This window comes from Homo sapiens, chromosome 21, assembly GCF_000001405.40.
Source record: "Homo sapiens chromosome 21, GRCh38.p14 Primary Assembly".
Taxonomy (NCBI): domain Eukaryota; kingdom Metazoa; phylum Chordata; class Mammalia; order Primates; family Hominidae; genus Homo; species Homo sapiens.
Window position 1 is genome coordinate 26,051,896 of NC_000021.9, and position 26,650 is coordinate 26,078,545.

At 39.5% G+C, this 26,650-nt stretch overlaps 1 protein-coding gene across 11 annotated transcripts in view; it reads right to left on the minus strand.

Moving 5' to 3' along the window:
* Positions 1-26,650, minus strand: part of APP (amyloid beta precursor protein) — a 290,579-nt gene that overhangs the window by 171,346 nt on the left and 92,583 nt on the right. For all 11 annotated transcript variants that reach the window (NM_001136131.3, NM_001136129.3, NM_001136130.3 and 8 more), the window contains one exon: positions 1,341-1,453. In NM_001136131.3, coding sequence (NP_001129603.1) covers positions 1,341-1,453 — 113 coding nt within the window. The remainder of the gene's footprint in view (positions 1-1,340; positions 1,454-26,650) is intronic.

Here is a 26,650-nt window from a genome sequence, read left to right on the forward strand (position 1 = left end):
TTATGGGAGTCATTTCCGTTTCTTAGAGACAAAGGATTTTTCTTTTGAAAACACAGAAGGAATAAAAAATGAGGTTATCAAATAGGTAGCTGGACTTCAAATTATTTGGTTTGTTTTCTTAAACTCAGCAAGCTCTTAAACCTCCAAAACACATTTTTACATAAAAAACATTTTATTCTACAGTGGATCCAAATATACTATTTTATAAGAGGCATAAAATAATACTAAATCTTCAGTGGTATTTTCTGTCTAACAGCTATAAAGCTATGATACAATGGTTAAGCTAAGCTAGATCAGATTTCTCAACCCCAGCACTATTGATGTTTTGGACTGCCTAATTCTTGGGGGTGGCGGGTGGTTATCCTGTTGACTGTAGGATGTTTAGCAGAATCTCTGGCCTCTGGGCACTATCAGATGCCAGTAACACCACTCCCTCAAGCTGTAATAACAAAAAATGTCTCCAGACATGTTCCGGTGAGGGACAGGGGATCAAAATTGACTCAAGTGAAGCACTATGAGCTAGATAAAGGAGCCTAATTCTAGTTAGCCTAAGACTGATCTTGCCACAAATAAACCTATATAAATTTATTAGGAAACCTATCAAGGGGACACAGCAGCTGTGAAGGTGGTCTTACCACACAGTGACCTTTTCATGCTAAGTATCTTACATCTTTTATTGGCTTAGCCAAAAGCAGAGGTTAACCAAGTGCTCGGTCAGACTCACCCTGTGGAAAAATCAAGATGGTAGGCATGGCCTGCTGAATATAAAACTGGATGGTATAACTGAGAAACTGAATTCTAACTGGAGCTTTCAGGCTGGTATAAAAAAGCTACTTCACTGTTCTACCACTGTATTCACTAATAGATAACAGGGGAAAAGGCTAAATTATTAAAAAATTGTATATGACAAAAGAAAACAACAGGTGCATAAAAATAATCTGAAGGGTAAACTTTAAAGTTATAACTATTAGAGATTATATTTTTAAGTTATAAGGCATGGCACAGACAACTTATATTTTTAAGTTGCGAAACACGGCACAGGCACATAATGAATCTAGTTCAACTGGCCCTATTTTTGACTTTTTAAAAATATTCATGGATGGGGAGGCTGCGCATGTGTGGGGACAGGGGGTACACGGGAACTCTATTTTCTGTTCGATTTTGCTGTGAACCTAAAATCACTCTAAAAACTAAAATCTGGGTTACGGATAGTAGCACTGGGTTTTTTTCTTAAATAACTTATCAACATAGCTGTTGCCTCAAAATACCCCTAAAATGCCATTAAGCACGTCCCCAGGAAATCTTCACTTTGCAATAAGAAAGAATTTATGGGCTGGTACCTCTTTGGCGACGGTGTGCCAGTGAAGATGAGTTTCGCAAACATCCATCCTCTCCTGGTGTAAGAATTTGCACTTGTCAGGAACGAGAAGGGCATCACTTACAAACTCACCAACTGAAAGAAAGGAAAACCACTTCCCGTCATTCCATCTGTATCACAGTGTTCTTACCGCAGAAGACATCAAGGAAAGATAGACTTCAAGACAAGTTAAACAGCCTTTTAATGCCTAAGCAACCCAATCAAGACCCTACTACCTTTAGAATGTTACGTCTGGCCTCCTTAAGCAACTCCGTTTCTTGCCACTTCAAGTTTGATGGTTAAAATAATGCCTAAATGCTGCAAGTGAAATTGTCCCTTAATTAATCTGAATTTCTTGCTTCAAAATTAATCCTAAAAAAGCTGCTTAACTAGAGAACCAATTACCATTCTACTACAACAGGGGAGTAAAATATAAATATTGACATTGTCTAGGTAAGCATTTGAGCAGAATCAATATAAATCCCTACTTTTCTTTCTTGGACATTTTAATCTGCTTGTAAGTAACAGAAATTTTAGCATTTTTCTACTTCCTAAGCAAAAAACCCAAAAGTGTATTTTATATATATGTTTACATAACACACATAAGAGAGAGAGAGTTTAATTCAGTTTATTCTGAAAACTGTCCCTCAGACTTTTGTTAAATCTTTAAAGAAAATGTATATTATGCAAATTATTTCTAGGCATTTCTGGTATTGAAGATATAAAGATATTACATAAAGTCCTACATGAACTCAGTCTAATGAAGGTAAAAGATGGATAATTACCACATTATATGTAAGCTGTAAACTTAATTTTTGTTTACTGCAATATTCCCAGCTTTTAGCACAGATTCTTGCACATAGTAGGCAATAAATATCTGTTAATGAATGAACAAGTTAAATTCTGTAATAGAGATAAGGAAAGTGTCAGGCCAGTATCTTGGGTGCAGTGGGAAAAACCTCAAAGAAGAAACAATATTCGAGATGAATCTGAATGGTGAGAAGTAGTATGCCACATGGGAAATGAATTGAACTTCCATAACGTAAGGATAGACTCTGTCTTGCTTGCCATTATACCCCCACAATTCCTGGCCTAGTTCTGTCAAACATCAAGAACTCTATTATAGAATCCAAATGGATGGATGGATGGGTAGCAAAAGACCCTTCAAAATGAGGGAGCCTCCTGTGCAAAGACAGAGTAAAGAACCAGCAAGGCATATTTGCAGCCCATCTGGATATGGGTGGAAGCAGAAAGCAAGTGGCAAAGGGAGTCCAGAAGGAAGTAGCACTGGGGAAGCATGCTGGACTCCAATTTTAAAGAGGCTTAGGTTTTGGATGCCATTTTGGAAGAAGCAACATAGGCCAAAAGTTTTTTTTTTTTTTTTTTTTTTTTTAAGATAGACTCTATAATTAAGTGAAGGATAGATCAGCATAGTGAAACCATGAAAGCAGGGAGACCACCAAGTAGGTCACTGTGGTCCTTCAGGCAAAACATGCAAGAATAGACATAAACCCACAACTCCCACGGAGCAAGGAATACAGATCGTCCACACAGCAGCAAAGACAGGAATGAATGTCTTTCTTTCATAGTACGCTATAGGGCATTTTCTGAAATGCAACATAAAGAGGGATTAAAAGCCCTAAGAAGGGGAAGGAAGTAACTTTTCATTCTCATAAAAGGGTTTAAACTTTAGTCTGTTTCTAGCTCAAACATGTAAGATGTAGCATGATACTGAAGTACTTATTTCAATAAGTACTATTTAGATAAAAATCTAAGCAAATCATAGGGGAGAATAAGCACTGTATCTTGTCATTCCTTAAATCTTTAAAATGATCAATGATGCCCATAGCAGTATAGTGTGTGTTGCAGGGAATGCAAAAATTATGAGACATGGTACCCCAAAGGCTGCAGGTGTCACTTTGCAGGGAAGAAACCAGTGAGTACTGAGCACACACCCCATGCAGCTCCACAGGGCCACATCACGGGTTCTTTTATAAACCTCACTTCCCAGGGGAGGAATCTCCGCCAAGAAACCTAAGGCTACCTAACTCAGGAGATTATAACCTAGCCCCAGAGATAAGCATTAAGATATAAATTATAAGGAAAGAAATAACATGATAATGCAAATGATACCACATTTCTCTTTTACATAGAATGATATAAAACAAAACAAAACAAAACAAAAACAAAAAACACAAGAAGACCTGGAGAATGGAAAGTAAAGGTAATCTCATCCAAAACAAATACACCATTCCCAGGTGGATTTCTCAGGGTTTCTGAGGGCTCTCAGGGTTTCTGAGGTCAGGGACTAACCCTAGCTGCTTGGAAGAATACCTGATATCTGAGGCATCCCAATTTTCTAGGTTACAGGAGGCCAGAAGTACCCTATGGCCTGAAGATGCCCACCTCATCTGTCAGCTCTGCTCAGTCATATTTGCAAATGTCCAAACTAAGAAGTGATGCTTTTCTATTTGACAAGTAACTACTGGAAAGATTAAATGCCTGTCATGTACAAATAGGTCAAAGAGTTTAAAAAATCTAATGCTGGCCCAAAGCTACTAAATCAGTTCGTGAGAAGAGCCAGAGCAGGTATCAGATACACTCGACCTTGGCCTGCAAGAGTTCTTGGGGGCATAAATCAGACAGTAAGTGCCAAACCACAAAACCAAATCATCTTGTTTTATCTGCCCTTAGTCAATCTGCTGACGACTAGATTATAATGCAAAGCTAAAGTTACCAAAACATATTTACTTATTCACCAAAAGGACATGTACTGCATTAATCTTTTTGTTTGTTTGTTTTCAGACAAGGTCTCACTCTGTCACCCTGGCTGGAATGTAGTGGTTGGATCAATGGCTCACTGCAGCTTCGACCTCCGGGGGTCATGCAATCCTCCCACCTCAGCCTCCTGAGTAGCTGGGACTACAGCTGTGCACCATCATGCCCAGCTAATTATTTCACTTTTTGCAGAGACAGGGTCTAGATATGTTGCCCAGGCTGGTCTCGAACTCCTAGGCTCAAGCAATCTGCCTGCCTCAGCCTCCCAAAGTGCCGGGATTACAGACATGAGCCACCACGACCAGCCAGTCTGAACATTTTTAATGAGGAGTTGGTAAACAAGCTTTTCTTAAAAGCCTGAATTAATTAAAAGTTGCCTTGGATATTAGGAGTTCATTAGCTAAGGATGTTACTCTTACTTTCATCTGGCAGAAAATCTATCCAAGAGAACCATATTCTTGAACTTGTGTTTAGGACAGAGGTTGGCAAACTACTACTTGTGGACCAAGTCTGCCCACCCACCACCCCCCTGCCCCCAACACCTGTATTTCTGCATTAGACTGACTATAACAATTGTTCATTATGTTTATAAGTGGTTACTGAACTTTCTAACTTGCAAAACATTTCATTTGATACTGCCAAGATGGTCTTAGCTTCTTATATTGCACAAAGCTAAGAAATATGTGTCCCTCAAAATGAGAATGGTTTTTTAAAGGATTAAAACTGGTTACTTAATAAGCTCTCAGGACTAATGGCAAAATAGAAACCTCATTGTATTCTAACATTAAAATAAAATTTAGCAGTGGACAGCACTGCTTACATTACTTTTAAAATTTGATGAAACATGTTAGAAGGTTACACATCAGAAATTGTAAGCGATTCAACCACAAAAATCTGTTTTTAAAAACTTTTAATAAGCGTTAAGAGTGCTAAAAGTATAATGAAGCCTTTTTCACCAACTGGCTTAGCACGGTTTATATTTTCTCTTTTTAATTAAAAAATATTGTACTTAAAAATCTTTGCTAGGACAGCAGTTACATGGAAACTGTACTTTCTACTCAAACTTGCTGTGAACTTCCACTGCTTTGTTTTTAAAAACAAAGTTTATTAATTTTAAAAAGCCTATGATCGTATATACCTGGAGTTTCTCTCCACAGCCACGTATACCTTATTTTTATAAATGCTTCTGCTTATTTGCTTTGATCTTTCAGGTAAAAAGAGTTCTTAACAGAATTCTGATGTAAGAGATCAAAGACTAAAACAAATTAAACATCATAATGAGAAATCATGTTCCTGTTTACAGCAAACTTTAGGCAATTTGGCACCATTTATTTCAAGTGGATAAATTCATCAATATACAGTATGCATGTTTATTGAGAAACATACAACCTGGTTTCTTGCTAAAACAATTCACAATTTATATTCAAAACGCATGTCACACACCACACACACACACACACACACACACACCCAACTGAAAGGGTGTTTTCAAAGCTAATGAACAAAATCTGGGTCTGGCTTCTTGGCTATGAAGTCTTGGCAAGGTGAACAAGGATGGCAAATTCAATAGGAGTCTGCAGGCCTCAATCTGCTAGCTCTTTGGTGGTCTTTGGGAGGACTGTCTAGCTCAAATTACCTCATTTTGCAGATGGGAGGAAAAGAGCTCAGGTCAAGTGACTTGCCCACAGAGCCAACTGGCAGAAGAACTAGACTGAAAATCCAGGTCTCCAGTTCTCCATCCAAGAGTGGTAACTCAACTCACTCATTTAAACTCTGTTCAAAATGGTTCATTTGGCCCATTTCCTTTGGCTTTTACAAAAGTAGTTCACTTTTAGACTGTGAAGTACTTTAATATTATAATCTACAATGTGGTCAATTTGACAATAAAACTAGACTTAAATTAGCTAGCAAGCCATATAGAACAGCTGGGAATGCAGTCAGCGGCAGAGAATAGACCACATGTCAAACCGTGGCTTAAACACACGGTAGGATTATGTATCTCACCTAAGAAGTGACACTGAAGCTAGGGCCACTGCAGATATTCCATGATGCCATCAGGGACCAGCGTATTCCTATCTTTCTGTACTGCCATCCTGAGCACGTTGGTTTTATCCTCGTGTTTTATGGTCACAGAAATTCAAGACTCTGTGTCCAAGTTCCAGACAGAAGGCAGGAGAAACAAGACAAAGGTGAAAGGTTTTCTGTTGTTGTTTTTTCCTCTAATAAAGCTTTGCTGTTACTTGGGAGGGACATACTCCTCAGCAAATTCCACTGAGGCCATATGTGCCATTACTGTGATCTGGTCACATGCACCTGCAAGGGAATCTGTGAAAGTATTTTCAGCAGAGCACATTGTCACCCTGAACAAAAAAAATCTGGAATTCTTTTAGAAAGGAAAAAATGGGAATGAATATCAAACAGGCGAGTAGCAGAGGCTCCCACACTATGGAATTTAAAGTATATTTTTCGATTTCTTTATGTTGTCTTTTCAAAAGACAGACAGAATTCCAGGAAGCAAACAGAATTCAGAGTAAAAAGTACTGCAACTAAAACCACAGTAACTTCCCAATCCATGACATTGGGAAGAATGAGAAGGGAAAGATGTATCAAAACTGACTCTGCTGCCAGGATGGCGGCACCTGGGGGTGTCATCCCAGCTACTTGGGAGGCTGTGGTGGGAGGATCACTTGAGCCCAGGAATTTGAGGCCAGCCTGCATAACTTAGAGAGACCCTACCTCTAAAAATAAATGTTTAAAATAAAGACATTAGGCCGGGCGCGGTGGCTCACGCCTGTAATCCCAGCACTTTGGGAGGCCGAGGCGGGCGGATCACAAGGTCAGGAGATCGAGACCATCCTGGCTAACACGGTGAAACCCCGTCTCTACTAAAAATACAAAAAATTAGCCGGGCGTGGTAGCGGGCGCCTGTAGTCCCAGCTACTCGGGAGGCTGAGGCAGGAGAATGGCGTGAACCCGGGAGGCGGAGCTTGCAGTGAGCCGAGATCGCGCCACTGCACTCCAGCCTGGGCGACAGAGCGAGACTCCGTCTCAAAAAAAAAAATAATAATAAAGACATTAAAATAAAAAAAAAACAGACTGCTGAAGTTTTGAGCATCAGAGTGGGGTTGAGTAGATTAATGTAAAAGATTCTAGAGCCATACACAGGTTCTTCAAGGCACAGATTATTTGAATATCAGATTAAAAGACAATATTTCTATGAACTGCTGGGGACTAAAATGATGTTGGCCAGAATCATGGGAATGAAAGGCCAAAAATGCCTGAGGTCTTTGGACTTCTGCCCGAGGTGTGCCCTCTCTTCCTCATCTCTCAAGAGGTAAAGATGATTCAAGAAAGTGGGGGAAATGTTCTGGCAATGTAATTACTGTAAAATGCCAAAGCCTCGGTTTCCTTGTGCTATGGGCCCAGATCTGCCTTGTGAAGATAAAACACCAGTATTGTTAGTAACTCTGAACTGTGTGCCTGCCACCACCCTCAATACTTCACGTGCGTCTTCTCTCACCGTCCTCAGAACCACACCAAAGCAGCTACAATGATTTCACTTTATAAGAGAAGGCAAGGGCCGGGCACAGTGGCTCAAGTCTGTAATCCCAGCACTTTGGGAGGCCGAGACGGGTGGATCACAAGGTCAGGAGTTCGAGACCAGTCTGGCTAATATGGTGAAACCCCGTCTCTACTAAAAATACAAAAAAATTAGCCAGGCGTGGTGGTGCATGCCTGTAATCCCAGCTACTCAGTAGGCTGAGGCAGGAGAATCGCTTGAACCTGGGAGGTGGAGGTTGCAGTGAGCCAAGATAGCACCACTGCAGTCCAGACTGAGCGAAAGAGCGAGACTCCGTCTCAAAAAAAAAAAAAAAAAAAAAAAAAAAAAAAAAGAGAGGGTGAGACTGAGAGACTATGTAACAGTCCAGGTCACATAGAGAGTAAATGGCAGAACTGGGAGAATTAAATGAATTAATATCCCTAAAGTACTCAACTAGTGCCCAGAACAAAGTTGCTCAATAAATTATATTAATAGTATCCTTCTCCCCAGTATCTATCTCATCAACCACAGTAGTTTCTCATAATAATAATCATAGTAATCAAAACAGCAACAGCTACTCTTCATCATTCACTAATCACCTATTTCGCACCTACTGAAGACACTGGGGTTTTATATGTTCATTGCACCATCACCACCTACTTGTAGCCCCACAGAGATGACATGGTACTGTTTTACATGTGAGTACTGCTTATGATGGGGTGAATACATGACAGCAATCAACACAGCGGGGTGGAGTCCCTACGACTGGAGAAGCAGAGAATCTGAGTGATCAACTCTTTCAACTCTTGCACCGAGTGCTGGTCCTGGCTGGGAGGGGGTGTTTCCTAAATCCCCTCTTGCAGCCACTGTCCTTTATCCACTAACTCTTCACTGCATACTTACAATTATGTCTCAGTGCTAAGAATACAGCAGTGAACAAAACAGATAAAACGATATATGATCCTAGCGGGGAAGCGATAAAAAATACAGATAAAAATACAGTGTCTGTTGGATGGTAATAAATGTTACATAGATAAAGCAGAGAAAGGGGTGGTTTGTTTGTTTTTTCTGAGGGGTGAAATTTTAAATAGGGTGGTCAGGGAATGCCTACTTGAAAATATGACATTTCAGTGAAGACTTGAGGAAGTGAGGGAACAAAGTATTCAGAATCAAAGGGAAGAATATTCTAGCCAGAGGAAGCAACAAGTATTACACAAAGTCTTGAGGCAGATGCATGCCTGGTGAACTCACAGAAGAACAAGGAGATCAGTGCTGTCGTGGAGGAATGATGTGGAAGAGATCAGTGGGCAAGCGAGTGAGTGACAGCCAGGACAGGACAGGGACAGCTGACTGCACGGGGCCTTAAACATTGTCCAACTCTGGCCAGTACTCAGAGTAATGCTGGAAGGCTCTGGGGTGGTTTTCTAAGCTAATTATTCTTGCCCTAGGGGGTCAAGACTAGAAGTGAGAAGACCAGGAAGGGGGCTCTGGCATTAATCCAGGTGGGAGATGACAATGACTTGGACCAGGATGAGAGCAGTAGAGGTGGTGCGTGTTCTCAGATTCTGGATGTCGTCTGAAGGTCAGATCTAAATAATCAAATAGAAAGGAGTCAAGAATCTAGCTTGTTTCTATTCCAACAGCTAGAAGATGCTTTATACTGAAGATGATGGAAAAGTCTGGACAAGACTTTCCTAATTTTTCTGTGTAGATGTGTAGACAGGTAGAACTTTTGAGAATTATGTACTTACTAACTTGTATACACTAGATATGTGTATATGAAAATGACAGCTACAGATAAATGTTTTCTTAAGTGATTTTTTATTTTACCATTTCAGACTCTTACTCCACAAATTTTTTTGTCTTGAATGTGCTCATTATATGCTATCTTTTGTAACTTTCACATTAACAAATAGGCTGGGAAAATTTTCCTGGGAGGCATCTGTACTCAAGAGACGGGACGATTACTTCACAGAAACAGCCAAACATTTCTCAACAAACTTTCCATGTGATAAAACTGTTATGGTTTTAGCTTCAGAGTGTGGGCAGTTACTGGGTTCTCAAAGAGGACATGAGGGTGAATTACACATCCTTTTAAAAAGTGGCTGTTGCCGTCACCAGCATTTCACTGTAACTATTACCGGATAATAGTGAGAACTGACAGATGGGATTCTTCAGATGAGAACTATTTGCCAGATGGTAGGAACTAAATGGATCAAGATAAGCAAAAAGGCAAAAGAAGTGAAAACTAAAAGTTTTACCTAAATCATCTCTCCAACTTTTCCAAGTGCACAGATCCAGCCTCACATACGTACCATATACACACACAGATGGCAGAGTGAGTATAAGACAGAATAGTGCTGGCCGGGAGTGGTGGCTCATGCCTGTAATCCCAGCACTTTGGGAGGCCGAGGTGGATCACAAGGTCAGGAGTTTGAAACCAGCCTGGCCAATATGGTGACACTCCGTCTCTACTAAAAATACAAAAATTAGCTGAGCATGTTGGCGCGCACCTATAGTCCCAGCTACTCGGGAGGCTGAGGCCGAAGAATCTCCCGAACCAGGGAGGCGGAGGTTGCAGTGAGCCAAGATCACACCACTGCACTCCAGCATGGGTGACAGAGCGAGACTCTGTCTCAAAAAACAAACAAACAAACAAACACACACACACACACACACACACACACAGAATAGTGTTTAACCCAGGCTCTGAATAACACTGGTCTTAAAATAATAAAAATAGTGCAAAGGATTTACTTTAAAAAAGAGAAAAGAAAAAAAAAACCACGGGAACAAAATAAGTATTTATGGCCAGGCATGGTGGCTCACACCTATAATCCCAGCAATTTGGGAGGCCGAGGCAAGTGGATCACCTGAGGTCAGGAGTTCGAGACCAGCCTGGCTAACATGGTGAAACCCCGTCTCTACTAAAAATACAAAATTAGCTGGGCATGGTGGCGGGTGCCTGTAATCTTAGCTACTCGGGAGGCTGGGGCAGGAGAATCGCCTGAGCCGGGGAAGCAGAGGTTGCAGTGGGCTGAGATTGTGTCATTGCACTCCAGCCTGGGTGACAGAGGGAGACTCTGTCTCAAATAAATAAATAAATAAATAAATAAATAAATATTTGTTAGCAGTCTTGCAGCTTTTAAAAAGATCCATATAGGTGTGGGTTAACAAATTTTTTTATATTTTTTATTTTTTATTTTTTTAAGAAAGAGTCTTACTCTGTCTCCCAGGCTGGAGTGCAATGGCACGATCACAGCTCACTGCAGCCTTGACTTCCTGGGCTCAGGTGATCCTCCCACCTCAGCTTCTCGGGTAGCTGGGACTACAGGCACATGCTACCATGACCAGCAATTTTTTTGTATTTTTAGTAGACATGGGGTTATGCCATGTTGCCCAGGCTGGTCTCAAATTCCTGGGCTCAAGCAATCCACCTGCCTCAGCCTCCCAAAGTATTGGGATTACAGGCATGAGCCACTGTACCCAGCCTGGGTTAACAATTCTGATACGGCTACGCACATATACTGAAACTGAACAATTAAGTACATAGATGGTGGATGGAGTGAGAATTTATACATAACCAAGGAGGAGAGATATAGTGTCCATGTGGTAATACGTTAGAGTAGGAAACATCCGGATGAACTTGTATTTAGCTTAATATAGACTAGATATTATAGCTTAATATAAATACAACTAGTTAGCTATAGAAATATTTATAGATCTGCATAACATAAGGGTGAACATGGACAAATACATTGCCTTGCTCTATCAACTGAGAAGTCTTAAAAGCAAAGAAACTCCAGTGGCAACGAGCATCCTTAACATCCAGATTTTAATACTATTCTCCAATAACATTACTCTCCAATAAAAGGAACAAGGGCTCCTTGGAGGAACAGCTGATTCTAGGATTAGGGCTGAAAATATGCAAGATGAGACTGCAGCATCTTGTAAGAAAAAAAAAAAAGAGGCTATGTCAAATGAGCATAGGAACCAAGTGAAAGGGCTTCTAATAGCTAAAGCCGGAATAATTTGAGCAATAAAAATTATGAAGTAGTGCTGGATTAGAAATCAAAGTACAATGTAAATATCCATGAGTCTAAATGACTGAATGAATGAATACATAAATAGGAAAAAAGAGACAAATCTCCTGCGCAGAAGAATTCCAAATAATTTATGTAGATACTCTGCCCTCAAGAAAATGAAGCATAATTCTCTGCTCCTTAATTGTGGGCTGTGCAAACTGACTTCCTTCCAAAGAGTAGAGCACATAAAGTGGGAAGAAGAGTAATTTTCAAGTGGAGAAACTCAACAACCACCACCTGAGCCAGGTGATCAAGGTCAATGCCAACAGGGCTGTATCATGTTGATAAACACGTACCCTTGATATGATGTGATGAAATGGGCATTTTACCTCTGTGGTCTTCCTTCTTAAAACCAATAACCCCAGGCAAAGCATGAGAAAATTCCCACAGAGGGGAATCCTACAAATTATCTGACCAATACAAAACCTTTAAGGTTATTAAAAAACTAGAGAAGTATAAAGAAACTGTCATAGCCAAGAGGAAAGGAGGCTATGGAGACCTGACAATTAAATATAATGCGCCTTCCTGGATGGCATCCTGGAACACAGAAAGGACATTAGACAAAAACTAAGGACATCTGAATAAAGTATAGACTTTAGTTAATAACCATGTATCAAAATTGGTTTACTGACTGCAACAAATGTACCATATTAATATAAGATGTTAACAATAGGGAAAACTGGATGCAAAGCCTATGGGAACTCTCTGGACTATCCTCTCAATTTTCCTGTAAATTTAAAACTGTTGTAAAATATAAAGTCTATTTTAAAAAAATTTAATGGCTTGATATAAAAGTTCACATAATAAGGTGTCATGCCAAACTCCTACTGACTGCAATGTGGATGGCACCAGGTTCAAGAGCCAGAAGAGGCCCAGAGCTAGTGAACCGTATGTCTCATAGGGTTTTACTGGGGGCTTGCATACAGGGTAGAGAGTCCAGTGGTGGTGGGTTGGACAGAGGAACCGCAGCCGCTTGCAAAAGGCATGTGGTCTCTACAGCATTCTCATTTAACACCCTCCCCCTAACAATCTCCACCTGGCAACTTCCACTTAACTCATAACAAAGGGTCTCAATCCCCGGCGAGGCCCATGTTCCACAGAAGGAGATGAGGGCTCAGATGTTCCTTACAGATAAGGAATGGCTCTCTGGGTTAGCCACTCCTGGATTTCTTTGTTGTTGTTTTTTTGTTTTGGGTTTTGTTGTTGCTGTTGTTTGAAACAGAGTCTCATTCTGTCGCCCAGGCTGGAGTGCACTGGCGTGATCTTGGCTCACTGCAACCTCCACCTCCCGGGTTCAAGCAATTCTCCTGCCTCAGCCTCCAAAGTAGCTGGGACTACAGGCCTGCGCCACCACGCCCAGCTGGTTTTTGTATTTTTAGTAGAGACGGGGTTTTGCCACATTGGCCAGGCTGGTCTTGGACTTCCGACCTCAAATGATCCACCTGCCTCGGCCTCCCAAAGTGCTGGGATTACAGGCACCGGCCACCCCGCCCGGCCCACTCCCGGATTTCTTAACTCAGAACTCAGAATCAGGTGCACCTGCCACACAGGATCATTGTCAGGGCATGTTCAAGTCAAGTGATCCCTGTCAGGTGCATCTACCATACATAGAGGCATACCTATTTGATTCCACATCAACATTCTAGCCTTCAAAAAAAAGTCTATAAAATTATTGTAGTTGAAAAGAACTAGAATTAAAAAGAGCTTACCAACTCAGGCATCTCATCTGTGGTATCTATTAATAACTAGACAGCGCTTGGTTTGACTTTTTTTTAGAAAAAAATATAAGTAATGTGGCATTTAAATTTTTTAAAAATTCAAGAATTTCAAAATTATCACATATATACCGAAAATTCTTTGCTTTCCAAATTTAACCTTGTCTTAGGAATGTAAACTAACTGGTCAGAGAATTCATTCCCCTTTACAAATGAGGAATCTTGAGCCTGATGAGGTTTGCACAAAGCTAATGACAGAGGTGGGCTCAACTCTGAAAACCGACTCTCATTCCAATGTTCAGGACCCCAAGAAATGTTACAGTAGTCTTACTAATTTTGAATGACAGCTTCCTCATTAACCAACCCAAGATAAGTTATAGGTGCTTTTTTGTTGCCTCTTTTTGACTGCACTATTAGTCATATCTTGATTTTATCAATAACAGGACTTCTTGTTACAAGTATTTAATAATTCCAACATTCGTTAAAAGATGGAATTGTAAGAGTAATAGTTGTTAAAGCTTTCCAGATTAGGGGTTTTCAAACTCAAACCATGCTTCAAAATCACCTGGGATCCTGATCAGTCTGCAGATTCATCTTCTCCCTAGCTCCACAGCCTAGATCTGATTTACGTGTTCTGGGACGCGCCTGAAAACAGACCTTCCCAGGGTGGCTCTGCTTCAGGTGGCTCATGGATCACACTTTGAGAAATGATATTTGGAGCAGGGCTTCTCAAGCTTTACAGTGCCTATGAATCACCTGGGGGCCTTGTTAAAATGCAGGTTTTGATTGGACAAGTCTAGGGTGGGACTGAGTCTGCTTTTCTAACAAGCTCCCAAGTGATGTGATTCAGCTGTTCCTTCCGGCAGTAAGGGTCTACTTAAGATAACCCATTACAACTAATCTCATTAAGGTTTTTAAAAATTTTAAGTTACAAGTTATTGCTTTGTAAGACACTCTTTGCTTACCCACTTTTAATTATACAGTTTAGTGTTAAGTAGATTCATATCGTTGTACAACCATCACTACCTTCCATCTCCAGAACTGTTTTCATCTTGCTAAACTAAAACCCTGCACACCATTAAACAACTCCCCATTCCCCCACCTCCACTCCCCATTCCCCCACCTCCACTCCCCATTCCCCCACCTCCAGAACCTGGAAACCACCATTCTGTTTTCCATCTTTTTGAATTTGACTCTTCAAATTCAAAAAGGTACCGCATATAAGTAGAATCAAGTATCTGTCTTTTGGTGACTAGCTTGCTGTGTCCTTTTAAAAAATAAAAATTTTCATGCTTCTCTTCCATAAACCTGCATCTCATCCTATAGATTTGTCACTTTTGGCACCAACTTAAGGACTGAGCGCCTTTTCACACATCCCTAAGAGCCAAGCTGCTCCTGGTTCGCCTTTTGTTTAATTATAGAAGTTACAAAATAAGGTAGAAAGAGTTCTAGATTTGAAAACAACACAATGACTCAAGCAGATCAAGTGATTTCCAAATATTAAAAGGTGATATGATAAATGCCTCCTGGCCAGAGAGGTGCACATAGGGTGAGAGACAAGAATAAAAATTAAAACTTAACATAATTTGATAAGAGATCATCTCTGCTACTGCTGAGTATTACTAAATACCATTCTATGCAGGTCCATGTAGGATACAAAAGAACCGAGATATAGTTCTGGACCAAAACAGCTTGGAGCAGCTTTGTCTCACAGAAATATAATAGAGGCCACATATCTAATTTAAAATTTCCTGTAGCCACATTAACATAAAAAGGTAAAAAGAAACAGGTAAAATTAATTTTATTAATATATTTTAACCCAGTACATCCTAAATTTCATCATTTCAACATGCAATCAATGTAAATAATTATCATTAAGACATTCTACATTTGTTTTTTTCTCCCAGACTAACTTTTTAATATCTGGTGGGTTTTTTATACTCACAGCATAGTTTGGACTAGCCAGGTTTCAAATATTCAATGGCCATGGGTGGCTAGTGGCCACCGTTGGGCAAGACAGACTTAGCATCAGATTTTAGAGATCAATAATATATTTCAAGGAGTAGTGACTTGAATGTGGACAGGTTGGGGTTATGGGAGAAAATCTAAAGCCAAAGACACAAACCTAGGCAGAGAAACCATAATAAGCTTGAATACACTGAGACTGCAGTACACCATTTTATGCGCTATGCTATCTTAACGCATACATTTTAGTCAATGGGAGGCATATCACTAGGATTCTATGTTACCATCATTAACCCTATTGATCAGCAAACTGCTCATCTCCCCCCATTTCTCTTGTTGCAGTTCTCATATCATAAATTGTATTTATAGGTGTGTGATTAATTCTAATACAGAAATTAATTTAAGGTTTCCTTTAGACTTGAACCTACTTTAGCTTAGTTCAGTCCTCTGTATCCCGAGAGATGAGCTGAAAAAGCAGATATAGTAGAGATAATTCTAAATTCCCTACTTTGTTTCTTCAAAATATAGGTATTCTCACTGGTTGCTTTCTCCTAACACTTTCCTTTCTTTCTGCCTTATTTAAAAAAAAAAAACAAAAAACTCAAAGCCTGATAGATTTTAGAGACGCAATTAATTAAGGTTATATACGGGGCTTTTTAAAAACCACATAATTGCCGACAAAATACCAACCAGGTTGGTGTTCCGTGAGGCAAAAGAACCACAAGTCATTACCAAAACCTTAACTCATATGGGAAGGTAAAAATATACAGCATGCTGTTTTCACATACCATACTCAGAAAGCCATGTGCGAGGGAGGCTATAATCAAGACAGGAAGAGGCATTTTCACAGATAACTTCTTAACGGGGTTGTAGACTGTCACTCTCACGCCCCTCACTTGTTCTTTCCAACCTATTACCATCTGGCCTTGCTCCAACAATCTGCAACTCTTCTTTCAAGGTCAAGAACAACAAATGCCATCAGTCTCTTCTCAGCCCTCCAGTTCTCTGACTACTCTGCCACATTCTCTTTTTTTTTTTTTTTTTAAAGAGACGGGGATACCCTCTGTCAACCAGGCTGGAGTGCAGTGCTGTGATCATAGCTCACTGCAGCCTCCTGGGCTCAGACAACCTTCCTGTCTCAGCCTTCCAAGTAGCCGGGACTACCGGCACATGCCAACATGCCTGGCTAATTTTTTTTTTAATTATTTTTTGTAGAGACAGGGGTCTCGCCACGTTGCCCAAGCTGATCTCAAACTCCTGGCCTCAAGCAACTCTCCTAGCTTCAGCCTCCCAATTTGCTGGGATTCTAGGCATGGGCCACTGAACTTGGCCCACTTTTCTTCTTTAAATTCAATCTTCTCCAGTTTCCACCAATCTATCTCAAGCCAATCATTCTTTCCCTCTCATTGGCTCCTCTTTTCATAATTCTGATTATAAAGTAAGGCTCTGTCTTCTACTCTTCTTGCTTTCTCACTCAGACATATCATCCATGCCTAAGGGTCAACAGCCTCCTCCACTCTTTCAATTCTGACCTTTCACTTAGCATTCCCAGTCGCTTGCTGCATGCTTCCAATTGCAGGGTATTAATTACTTTTAGCAAATGTACTAGAATCAAGTGCCCAACTGATTATCAAATTCCGGAAGTGTACCCAAAGGACAATGACTAATTCCTCATTGGGTCAAAGTCTTTCCTATGTGGAAGCAAGAGAAAGGAACAGAACTAACACTGAACATTGTGAGGAGCCCAAAACATGACTCCTGCTGAACACATTCTATTTGGTTGTAGAACCCAACCAATATAGGCCCCGTTGATCGATTTCCCCACAACAAGAGGAGGTCATAAAAATCATGCTTCCACTTTCTCAATAGATACTTATCGCTCATGAATGTCTGTGAATCAGAAGACCATGGGACTATAACTCTACTCCACTCAAACTCTCCATACTCCCAAAGCTGGACCTCATGGTCCTCAGATCATGTAATACTCAGACACAGCACTCCAGTAAACCACTTTCTGGCCAGAAACTCATCCTTCCCATAGTTCCTCTCCCTTCCATCCACTACAGCTTGTTCATCATGATCCTGAGGTCCTGGATGCTGCAGCACTCTCTGCAGTTATCAGGGGAGGCTTCACTGCCTTCAGTTCATTTCCCTGCCAGCCTGGTCTAGGACCCTCAGCACACACACTCATCACTGCACATATCACCAACGACCACCCACATGCTTTTGATGCCCAGGCTCATTTGGTCCAGCCTATTTCTCTCCTAAGTGTGAGACTCAATAAATACACAACCACCCCACTGTGCTCTTCAAGAGCTTATTAACTGCCTCTTTTAGATTCTCCTGGGTATAGTCCAGACTTAAAATGCCTCACTTTGGGAGACAATGTAATTTAACCATTGGAGGAACAAATGTTGGTCTATATATTTCAGGCATTTTCCAAATAAAAACCTCCAAGAAAAAGCAAACTTGTATCTTAAAAGATGCAGAACTATTTAGGGCAAAAAGTACACAGAGAATGAGAAAGAAAAAAGATGTCACTGCATTTAACAAAAGAGTTAACAATATTGTTAACAATAACAAGAGTTAGCCATGAAGTAATTAGGATATAGTACTTGAAACTGGCACCACCTTTTACCAGGCATTACAATATTGCTATGAGTTCACAAAGCTCTGTTAGAGCAGAGGAAAAAGAAGGATTTGAATTCTGTCACTGTACTAGCAACACCACCTAGGGATGAGGAAGACAATATCTAATAGAATAACAAATAAAGTAAGTATACATGATTCATCAAGCTCTTCAATAAAAATGTATTTTAGAATTTATCAACATCCCTTTTGAATCATGTTTCAAAAATCACACAATCTGTTCAAACACGGATAGACCCCCAGATAAATCAGAATCTCTCTCTCTGTTACCACGCCTCTGTGGACTTAGAAATCACCACTTAGATTTGTAAACAAGGCTTAGTTTCATTATTGTAAATCAATTTGGCAGGACTTATCACTCCACAGAGAGCTGAAATAATTGAATTTCTGGACTTCTAAGGAAGAAGGTTTAAGTACATTAAGGCTTCCAAAAGGAAGATCACCAACTCTTCTTTAGCAGAAAATGCCCCTGGAGAATTTTGAACCATTTCTTGATCTAGTGGCAACTGGATGTTATCAGTGGCAACTAAGGTATCTGTCTACACCTGCTGAGGCTCACAAGTAAAAACTAAAAAGTACTGTGAATCTCTGTGATAATGGAGCGTAAAGCTACCACTTAAGTCTTTATTACTAGTAAGTAACGGATTTTAAGAAAAAAAGAGATACTCAAATCTATCTATAGATAACCAAAAAACCAAACAAAACACCCAGAAAAATCTAAGGTTGAAGAACATATATAATTTGAGACTTTTGAAACAAAACACCCAGAAAAATCTAAGGTTGAAGAACATGTATAATTTGAGACTTCTGATCAGAGCCTTCCTCAATAATGTAAGTTTAAAAACTATTACCAAAGTGACAAGATCCCATGTCAGATAGCAGAATGAGAACAAGGCTACTCTTCAACTTAGTCATCCTCTTTTATCACTACAACTTCAATCATAGATGTAAATGGAAATTTCTGCTTCCTTTGCTACTTTTCTGCTTGACTGAATTTTATAATGAAAAACGTCTGTTCCTTCCAGGCAGAGCACGAGTGTCATTCAAATTGTACACACCAGGCAAAGAGTGAATGCATTTGTTTAGATGCAAAAATCATTTAAATATGTGTCATTATAGGCTGCAGCACATTTGCGGATTCGGCAGTTTAAAATTCTCTTAAGCAATAAAGCAAGGCATCAAATGAAAGTGCACTCAGGCTTCAAACATCTTCAGACTATGTTTTCCTGTTTGCACACAGCGAGCCCCGCCTTCCTTTCCTGACCCCACTCAAACAGAAAGCAGTGGAACCATGCCCTAGCCCATCCTATTACCCCAAACGTCTTCCAGGTCAGCAATCCAAAGTCACGTGAAAGCTCCATCTTCAGTTTCCCTCTCCAGGGAGCAAATATTTTGAAGAGCAAGCATTCCAAGCAAGCAGAAACTCAGCCTTTAAATCAAACTAAGCTTAAAAGTAAGGTCCTGCCGCACACAGAAGGCAACAGAAAAGTGTCTGAAGAGATAGCTCCCATTTTATATTTAACATTTAGAAATGAGAAAACTGTGTGTGATTAATGCTTATAATTAGAGGGGGTTAACCCTTATTTCAAATAATGTAGTTCCTGTCTTTCATTTAAAATTATAAAGATGACTAAAATGTACATGAAAGGAAAATTACAGTTAGGATCTGCTGTGTTTTAACCCAGAACTGTGGTTTTTTGAAGAAAATGCTGGAAAAGATTCTGATTTGGTAAGAATATCTGGATATGAGAATCTTCTAAGAAAGGTGATTTACCATTTTCAGGCCAAAGGCAGAGAGTTTCTAACAATGATAAAATTAACAGGCTGTAGGATCTTCATTCTCTAAGCTTCAGGTGACCCTTTTAATGACTAAATAAAGTGTGTACTCAAGGTCACCCACGAGGAAGAAAAAGGTCAGTTCCCTCTCTTGAGGGACCCCCTCCCCACTCACGCTATTACACAGCAATTCTAGAGATTCACTTCATTTTTGGTTTATGTTCAAACTGTCTGGATATTTCAGGGCCTTCGCTTTTAAGTTTCCATAATAGGGCAGTTGACTATTTATATAAGTCCCTGGAAAATGTGTATTTTTAACGTCATCTAGAGTAGGCCACCTTTGGGGGAAAACAGCTAATGGGTTAAAAAGCCAACTGGTGTACCAAGTATGTACAAAAGACATCTTTTATAACAGTTCTCACGTGCAAAAGAACATTCATTAAGTATAACAATAAATAACAGGCAATATGTGCATTTTTCCAGACCCTAAGCACTTGATAAAGCCATATTGTCATTTTACACTCATTTTTAGTAGCTGTTTAATTGGTATTCCTGTATAGGACAGTTTTGTAGGTTTCCGGATTATTTCACATTCTCTTCTTCCTAGTTATAAATTTTGGTACAACTGTAAGCTCTCCTCACACTGTAATAATTACATTGCTGAGACCACATCTGTTTTTTTAAAAAAGATATTTTGCAAAAAATATATTTAAGTTGAAGTATCTGAAATACTTTTCAACGTCAAACTTTGAGAGGATTATGCTTAATTATATATCTTCACATCTTTAAATTGTTAAAAATGAATGCATAAATATTTCCTAGGGATTTATGCTTGATTCATTTGATTCTTACATACTAGTTGTTATTTACCGGCAGAGAAAGCAAAAGCAAAAAAAAAGAAAGCAAAAACAACAAAAATAGTTGATTCTGGTGCTAGTCCAGAATCAGGTTGATTTCTGCATCAATAGCAGGGTTTCTACATTAAATTCATTCAAATTTAATTAGTTCTCTGCATAAAATCAAGGGTCTAGGAGAATTTAATAAAAGCTGAAAACAATCCTATCCTTTGCCTGAAACAGATTTTTATCCCAAATGGTACTCAGCAATAAGCCAACAGAGAAAAATGGAATAACAGACATATGCCATGTTCACGAGTTCTCTGTTTAACCTAAGAAGTCTGAATTTGCCATTTTTTGATAAGGAACTGGTGTACATCTTAGAAGAAATATTCCATTGAGTCTGAATTCTTGGTGGAGCACCCGCAGAAAGAGAACCAGTAAATAGTATGTATGAGGCCTGGCCTGGACATAATGACTCAGGAATCATCAATGCAGGCCTCTGAAAAACCACTGCACTTATGAGATCTCCTAGCAAGTATGTGTTGTGTGAGAAAATGGACAACCCCAGGGTACTCCTATTAAACACTGATATTTAGAATTTCTGAATTCTGATTCTAAATATTTTGCAATATTTGGAATTTCTGAATCCTAAATATTGCAAAAGGTGGCGCGGGGAGGACGGGGAAGGGAGCCTGAAAGGAAAATGGAGGACAGCAGAAAGAAAATCAGAAGCAGCAGAATGACATCAGTGTGGGGAGAATGCACCCATCAACCGATGCCACTGAGAGACTGTGGAGGACACAACAGTGCCCAGTGAGTCCGACAACCAGAATGATAGCAAAGAGCTCATTCCCTGGAGCTCAAGGAACAGATGCCTGATAACAGGTGACTGTGGAGGGAACTGGAGGTTACGAAGATCACACAGGAACTTCTGACTACCATATAAAGAAGCATATCTGTGAAGAGACAGAGCGAGGGTGGAAGTTAAAGGAATACACAGAGTTGAATGACTGGAGTGAGGGATCAGGGAGCTCTAAAGAAGAGGAAAAATATGAGAAGGCTAAATACTATTGAGATGTGAAATTAAATACAGGGTCAGTAGGCCAAGGGTCTTTATGAAGTCAAAGATCAGATACAATGAGAGTAAAGGACCTACTGAAGAAGCTGTGTGCACAGATGCCCAGGAATTCAGACTCACCTAAGAATTTAGAACAAAGGTGGAAAAAGAAAACTAAGCTCAAATTATTTAAATAGTACAACAGGGTAACTTCTTGACATACTGAACATGAGCCTATTCATGTTAAATATGCTTGGAGAATATCATTAGTCCATGGCTTACAATCAATTCTAAGCTTTCAAGAAAGCAAGAGCTACAGGACCTATTCATAAAAATATAGCAACATTGGGAAACTAATTATCTTCCCAGCTGATAAAGATACCATCCAATAAATAGGGGGATCTTCAGTGACATCCAAACCTTCAAAAAATATATTTTAAAATGTTATACCACGTTCTCGGAAGGTAGTTAACACTAAAAAAGATTTGGGGGAACTGAAGCTGAGTAATATTCTTGAAAATACAGGTACCTAATCAATAAATAAAGAGAATGCCCCCCAAATTTTTCATGGCATGAAAATACTTAAAGGTTTAAGAGGGGAGTACCTACATCTATTAATACACCAAACACCTACTGAAACGCCACATTCATGTAATCACTTAATAAAGACATTAAAATAGGATGACAGGAGTTCATGTTTAGCATTTATAAATAGTATCCTAACCTTTAAGGTACAACATAAGAATCTGAAATTTCTAAAATCTATTATCACTGAATAATATTTAGAAGCAGATTTCTGTGAAAATTAATTCTTAAGGCCAGGCGTGGTGGCTCACGCCTGTAATTCCAGCACTAGGCCGAGGCGGGCAGATCTGTTGAGGTCAGGAGATCGAGACCATCGTGGGCAACATGGTGAAACCCCCTCTCTACTAAAAATACAAAAATTAGCCAGGCATGATGGCGTGTGCCTGTAGTCCTAGCTACTTGGGTGGCTGAGGCAAGAGAATCGCTTGAACCCGGGAGGCGGAGGTTGCAGTGAGCAGAGATTGCGTCACTGCACTCCAGCCTGGGTGACAGAGAGACTGTGTCTCACAAAAAAAAAAAAATCTTTATCATTAGCCTTAAAAACTAAGGACAATGAAACTATTATAAATGAATCTAATGGTATGTTTTATCTCTAAACACAGATGCCTCTGATACACTGACTTTTTACTAGACATGTGTAGGATAGGTTTAACCCTATTTCTGGAGTTGAATGTTCTTTTTATTAAGATCCAAAGACACTTGGTTTCTTCTCTTCTGAGATCCCTATGTTACTTCTTGGTTGTTACATAAAACCTGCTCTTCCTTTGTTGATCAATAAGGAGTAAGTAAAGTAAATGATTTTGCCATAATCTCAGAAATTCTTTTAGGCATGTGAAATTGCTGCTCCACATCTTCTGTCTTTCTAATGTTTGGGCTATTCTTTCTTTTCCCTTTCCTTTTCCAATATTTGGCTACATCCTCAATTCATTCATTAAATCTATATATTTATTAAATATGTACTATGTACCAGACATGTTCAAGCTCTGGGAATATTTCAGTGAATTGACAAAAGTCTCAATTATCGAAGAGCTTACATTTTGAACAAAAAGCAATTATTTCCCAATGTTTGAGCACCGCAGGAAAGGGTTAACCATCAGCATCATGCACTACTTATTCACAATATAGCTGCACAATTATTGTTTCCTCTTATCAGGCCCTCAAAGCCACTGATTATAATACTTTGTCCCAACCTATTACCCTACAAGTTTGCTAGTAAAATTCGAAGATGACCAGGAGCTATTTGCAGGATACTACAGGCTATGAAAGTATTACTCCAGAGTATAATCAGTTTTTTCCCCAATCCAATTGTATCATCTATTAAAAGAGCTAACATAATAAAAAGCTATATCCTGATGCCCAGAATTTACAGCGTAACAAGGACTAAGAAAGCAGGTATCTTAGAGGTAACTTTAGCCTATTAATGACATGTGCAGTACAAATAAAACCACATTGAATGTACAGATATTTTTCTGGACATCGAATAAGAGAAATAATCAAATGAATTAATGTCTGTCCAAATCAAAAATCTCTACAAGTGTTCCAACTTTAATGAACCAACTTAGTTCTATTCTAATTTTCTATTATTATTTCTCAAGGCTACCAACACAAACTACTTTCCCTGGAACATCCCCATGAATATATTTATTTATTTATTGTTTAATTTTTTTTGAGACGGAGTTTCGCTCTTGTCATCCAGGCTGGCGTGCAGTGGCGCGATCTCGGCTCACTGCAATCTCCGCTTCCCGGTTTCAAGTGATTCTCCTGCCTCAGCCTCCTGAGTAGCTGGGATTACAGGCGCCCATCACCATGCCTGGCTAATTTTTGTACTTTTAGTAGAGACGGGGTTTCACTATGTTGGCCAGGCTGGTCTCCAACTCCTAACCTCAGGTGATCTGCCCACCTCGGCCTCCCAAAGTGCTGGGATTACAGGTGTGAGCTACCACGCCCAGGCCCCATAAACATTTTTAAATCTACACCTCTTCATTTTCTTTACGTATCCCTCAGGATCCACATCATGGGTCTACTTTCTTTCAAACAACTTTTACCATATGCTCCAGCTCACACTACCATCTCCCTACCTCCTATGCTCACAACAACCCCTCATATGACTTACATTAAAAAGTTTACAATTATTAATTAGGATTGGAAGTTTCCAACAGATTTGTAGTCAGGAGAGACTATTCAGGGAACATGAGTCTAGTTTTGATCACATTGAGTTTGAAGTTCCTGAACAAACACGTGTCACTAAAGGAGTGAAGATAAACATGCTTCTAGAGTAAAAACAATCACAAGTACAAACCTCTACAACATCTTACACAGGGAAATTCAGCCCTAAAGTCTATCAAATGGGCATAAAGGTAATTTTATATTTGTATAATCTTAGGTTATAGCCAAGAAAAAGCAAACATCTTGTGAAGTTGAGATATAGCATACAACAAACTCAGCTCAATTAAACCACAGTTTAGCTTTATCTAATTCAAAGTTAGGACGCCTTTAACAGTAACTTGACTTGCAACTTCTAAGCTTAAAAGAAATTTTAGGCTGGGCGCAGTGGCTCACGCCTGTAATCCCGGCACTTTGGGAGGCCGAGGTGGGCGGATCACGAGATCAGGAGATGGAGACCATCCTGGCTAACACGATGAAACCCAGTCTCCACTAAAAATACAAAAAATTAGCCGGGCGTGGTTGTGGGCGCCTGTAGTCCCAGCTACTCAAGAGGCTGAGACAGGAGAATGGCGTGAACCCAGGAGGCGGAGGCTGCGATGAGCCAAGACTGCGCCACTGCGCTCCAGCCTGGGCGACAGAGTGAGACTCTGTCTCAAAAAAAAAAAAAAAAGAAAGAAAGAAAAAAAGAAATTTTCCAGATTAAAACAAATGTCTGGAAACCTTAAACTCAACTTCTTCCTGCCATCAAATATAGGCCTCCTTGATCGATTTCTCCATAACAAGAGGAGGTCATAAAAATCATTCACGGCCATCTCATTTAGTTGTCTCTTCTGCAACTTACTCCCTAAACTCTGTGCTTAAATAACTATTCTCCTGATTTTTCCGCTGTAGGTCTTCCCACTATGGAACATGAGCCCACCCCTTTCCCTTCCCACCATCCTACTGGTATGGTTTTACCCCATATATGGCATCTGTATTGTGAGTCTGCCAGAACGCTCATACTTAGGCGTATTTTTATCTTCGTATCTTACAACGCTGTTATTTTGTACTTTTGGCTTTTCTTTGTCTACAGTTAATATTTGCCCCATTTAAAAAATTTGCCTCATTTTCTATGCATCCATCAATACTGTATCTTTCCCAAACGCTCCAGTAGAACCCTAAGAAGCATGCTAAGTACAGGAAAATCTTTAACGCAGGTAATGCATCAATGCCATTTTTTCCTGGAGGCCTCTCTCCTGCGACCAGCCTCGTTCGTCTCCTCCAATCTGGACTAGCTGCTCTCCAGACGGTTGCACAGCTGTTGCCTGAGATTTCCCTTCACTATAGGGTTTCAAAGCCAAAGCCTAAGACTCACTGACAGGAGAAGGAAAAAAAAAAAAAAAAAAAGACAGACACTCCTGGGATGCATCACCAACAAGTTGAAATTTATCAGGGGATATGGAAGAGGGAATGTTTAATGAAACCACTCAGTGACTAATATGATAAAAGAGAAAGACGACAGAATTTATCCTTTCACTGAACACTGAAACAAATATTGAGAACCTTCTTTGTCAAGTACTAAAATCTGAATATTTCCTAACAGCCTTTGACACTGAAATTAAAATACGTCTTAATCCAGACTGTAGATTCATCTTTATGTCGTTTCTTATATCCATGATGCTTATTTGTGTACCTGAAAAAAAGCATATTCTTTTCCTCAGTGCTAATTGAGAACTGGCTTTAAAAATTCATTCTTTATTTAATCACAAACATCAAATAACTTTTTAAAAATATAATACGTGAGAAAAAAATTGTCCTTAATTTCATTTCAGTATTCCCTTCATAATAAGTAAATAAACAGTTCTGCTTTTATGGGTATTATCTGGAATTATAAAGATATGCTGTACCTAATTCACAATAGTAAACTGAAAAATTTTAAGTCCACAAAGAAGCACTTGTTTAGTTCTTTTCCTAGGGAAGAAATACATCAAAAGTTCCCATAATTTATTATGAGAAGTCTATGTCTAATATATTTTACATATTTATATACTATTTTTAATGTAGTTCATTATTTAAAACATAATGAAAGCTTGGGTTTCATGGCAAAGGCTGAAGTTAATTCAGTTAATGCCATTATTTTATGTTGTATGTAAGCTAC